This window comes from Homo sapiens, chromosome 21, assembly GCF_000001405.40.
Source record: "Homo sapiens chromosome 21, GRCh38.p14 Primary Assembly".
NCBI classification, from domain to species: domain Eukaryota; kingdom Metazoa; phylum Chordata; class Mammalia; order Primates; family Hominidae; genus Homo; species Homo sapiens.
In genome coordinates, this window is record NC_000021.9 from 27,098,737 (window position 1) to 27,101,749 (window position 3,013).

The following is a 3,013-nucleotide window of genomic DNA, read 5'->3' on the forward strand; positions in this document are numbered from 1 at the left end:
TTTTAAATGTAGCTTTTTGTATTATTCAGATATTTCAAGACCAACAGATGAGGAGACAATTGCAATTGAAAAGATAGATTATTATACTCAGAGTTCCCAAAAGGGGGTGGAACCAGGGTTTGTCTGGAGGCAGAAGGAGCAAGGGGAAAATGTGGGCAATAACTTTTATTGTGGTTTTCATGGGAAGGAGTGGAAGAGGCTGTATAAACGGGTTTAGAATTGGCTAGCTTGAATAATTTCAGGGTGCTGCAAAACATGAGTTATCCCTAGTTACCTGGCACCTGACCTGGGGTCGTTAAGGCAGAGGAACAGTGGTCCTAAGTGACAGAGACTGTGAATACCCGGTTTAAAAGGCAGTTGGAGTGTTGGCTGTGGATTGGTTATTTTGCATATAAAAGGCATGCTTACAGAGAGTACTGTACTGTTTCTAGAACTGGCCAACTCTGGGAGGAGCAGTCCCTCACAGTCAGCAAGGCCTCAAGATGTCAAAGCATCAAATACGGAAACTAGAAAATGTAGTTATTACCAGATCTTTTTTTTTTCTTTTTTGAGACAGTGTCACTCTGTTGCCCACACTGGAGTGCAGTGGCACAATCTTGGCTCACTGCAACCTCTACCTCCTGAGTTCAAGCTCTTCTCCTGCCTCAACCTCCAGAGTAATTGTGATTACAGGTGCCTTCCACCACACCAGGCTAATTTTTGTATTTTTAGTAGAGACGAGGTTTCACCATGTTGATCAGGTGGTTCTACAATTTCTGACCTCAAATAATGCACCCTCCTCGGCCTCCCAAAGTGCTGGGATTACAGGCATGAGCCACTGCACCCAGCTATAAGATCTTTATGTCTGTTTATACTGATTGATTTTTCTCTTTGTTGTGAATAACATACCCTTGCTTCTAAGAATGTTTAGTATTTTTTGATTGGATGTTGGGCATTGTGAAGTTAAATTGTTGAGTGTCTGGATTCTGCTGTATTTCTTTACAGAGTGTAAAATTGGTGTTGGTATGCAGTTAAGTTACTTTCAGATTAGTTTGATCACCTTGATGTGTGTTTTTAAGTTTTGCTAAAGTGGATCTAGAAGAGATTCACTCCAAGGATATTTCAGCCCTCCTACTAAGGTACAAATTTAGTTTTCCTTATGGAATTATTTTTGTCTTATTATTAATGAATATCATGAATGCTTATAAGGTACCAAGAAGTGGACTAAAATATGCAACAGAACATGAAAAAGGTACAGCCTATATCATTTTCTCATAGAACTGTTAAGTGGAGATAGGCATATAAATAAACTAAATATGTGACCAACAGTGGCATATGAAAAGTGAGATACTGTACAAAGTTTTGACCAACAGTAAAATATGTACATGCAAAAATATTTAAATTACACTGTATTCAGTAAGGTAGGCCCTGAAAAAGTCTGTTAGGGCTTCATAAAATTGTATGTGCTTTAGCATTTGAGCATCTATTGTGTACTGCCAGCCTAGCATTGTGCTAAGTCATAGAGATACAATGGTAAAGAAAACACATCCCTGGCTACAAGGAGCTTATCATCTTATGAGGTACAAAGACAAGTAATAGTGCTTCTAGAAGAATAAGTCATTTGTGTCGTGAAACTGTATATGTGTAAGCCAGTCATTAGGCACCATGGAGACCTTCTAAGATGAAGCTGTATAAACTAAAAACAAATGATTATTATAATTTTGTCTGGCAAAGGAATAAGAAGATTGGGAAAGTGCTTAGAAGTGATTCATAGTAGAGGAAAAATCACACCTAAAAACTTAGAGCCCCGAGAATAGTGAACATTTATGGAATGAAAGTTATAGTAGTTTGTTTCTGGTAGGACCTGCTAGTCAGGAGTAATGAAATATGGCACAGAGCAAGACAAAATAGGCAGGAAGTGGTCAGCCAATGGAGAGTTTGCCATGAAATATGAAAGAGTCTGTATCTTATCTTGAGAAGAGTGGGATCCTTCCAATGGTTTTCAGCACCGGAGATTATGGACATGAAGCTCAGGAGAGAGGCCTGAAATGGTGGCTCATGCCGAGGCTTGAAGGATTAATGTATTAGTTCATTAGGGCTGCAATAATAAAGTAGCACAAATTGGGTGGTTTAAATAATAGAAAAACAACAAAAATAGTTCTAGAGGCTAGAAGTCTGAGATCAAGGCGTCATCAGAACTGGTTTCTTCTGAGGGAGACTCTGTTCCATTCCTCTCTCCTTGGCTTGTAGATGGCCATCATCTTTCTATGTCTTCACATCATTGTCCCTCTCTACTTGTCTATGTCCGTGTTTCCTTTTCTTGTGAGAATACTGGTCATGCTGGATTAAGGCCCACTTTAATGACCTCATTTTAACTTGATTACCTCCACAAAGACTATTCCAGAATAAGGTTATGTTCTGAGGTATTAGGGGTTACGACTTCAACATATGAATTTTGAGTGGACACAATTCAACCCATAGCACCCCCGTGTAAGAGCTGGGAAGGGAAAGTGGCTAAGTTGTGCAAATGTGCACATTGGTTGGAGATGATTAACTTCTGGCATGTAGATTCAACACCCAAGAAGTGAAATACAATGGATAAAAATGGCTAGAAGATAAAGTTGACAGTGGCAATAACAATATGGATTAGACTTGGCAAAGTTATGAAGCAGGAAAAGTGGGTATTGAGGCATCCTCTACTTTGATGTTAGGAAATTATTTTTTAATTTTCCACTGATTTTAATTTATAAATTCTCTGATTAAAAATTTGTTATAGTCTTACCTTTCTAGGGCTTGGTTACTAGGCTATAGTACAAGTTACTATACACTATATGTAAAGAGTATTAGATTGTATTTTTGTCTTGTTACCAGATAAAGTAATGGTCATTTAAAGCTATTTCTTCCAGCCATGAAGTCAGGGTATGATTAAACAAAATTCCATAAATAACTTGATCACTATGAAATGAAATCTGTCTTCTTATGTTTGGCATTCAATTGACTACATCAGATGTTGTTTCGAAAGTCTTTTCTCAAC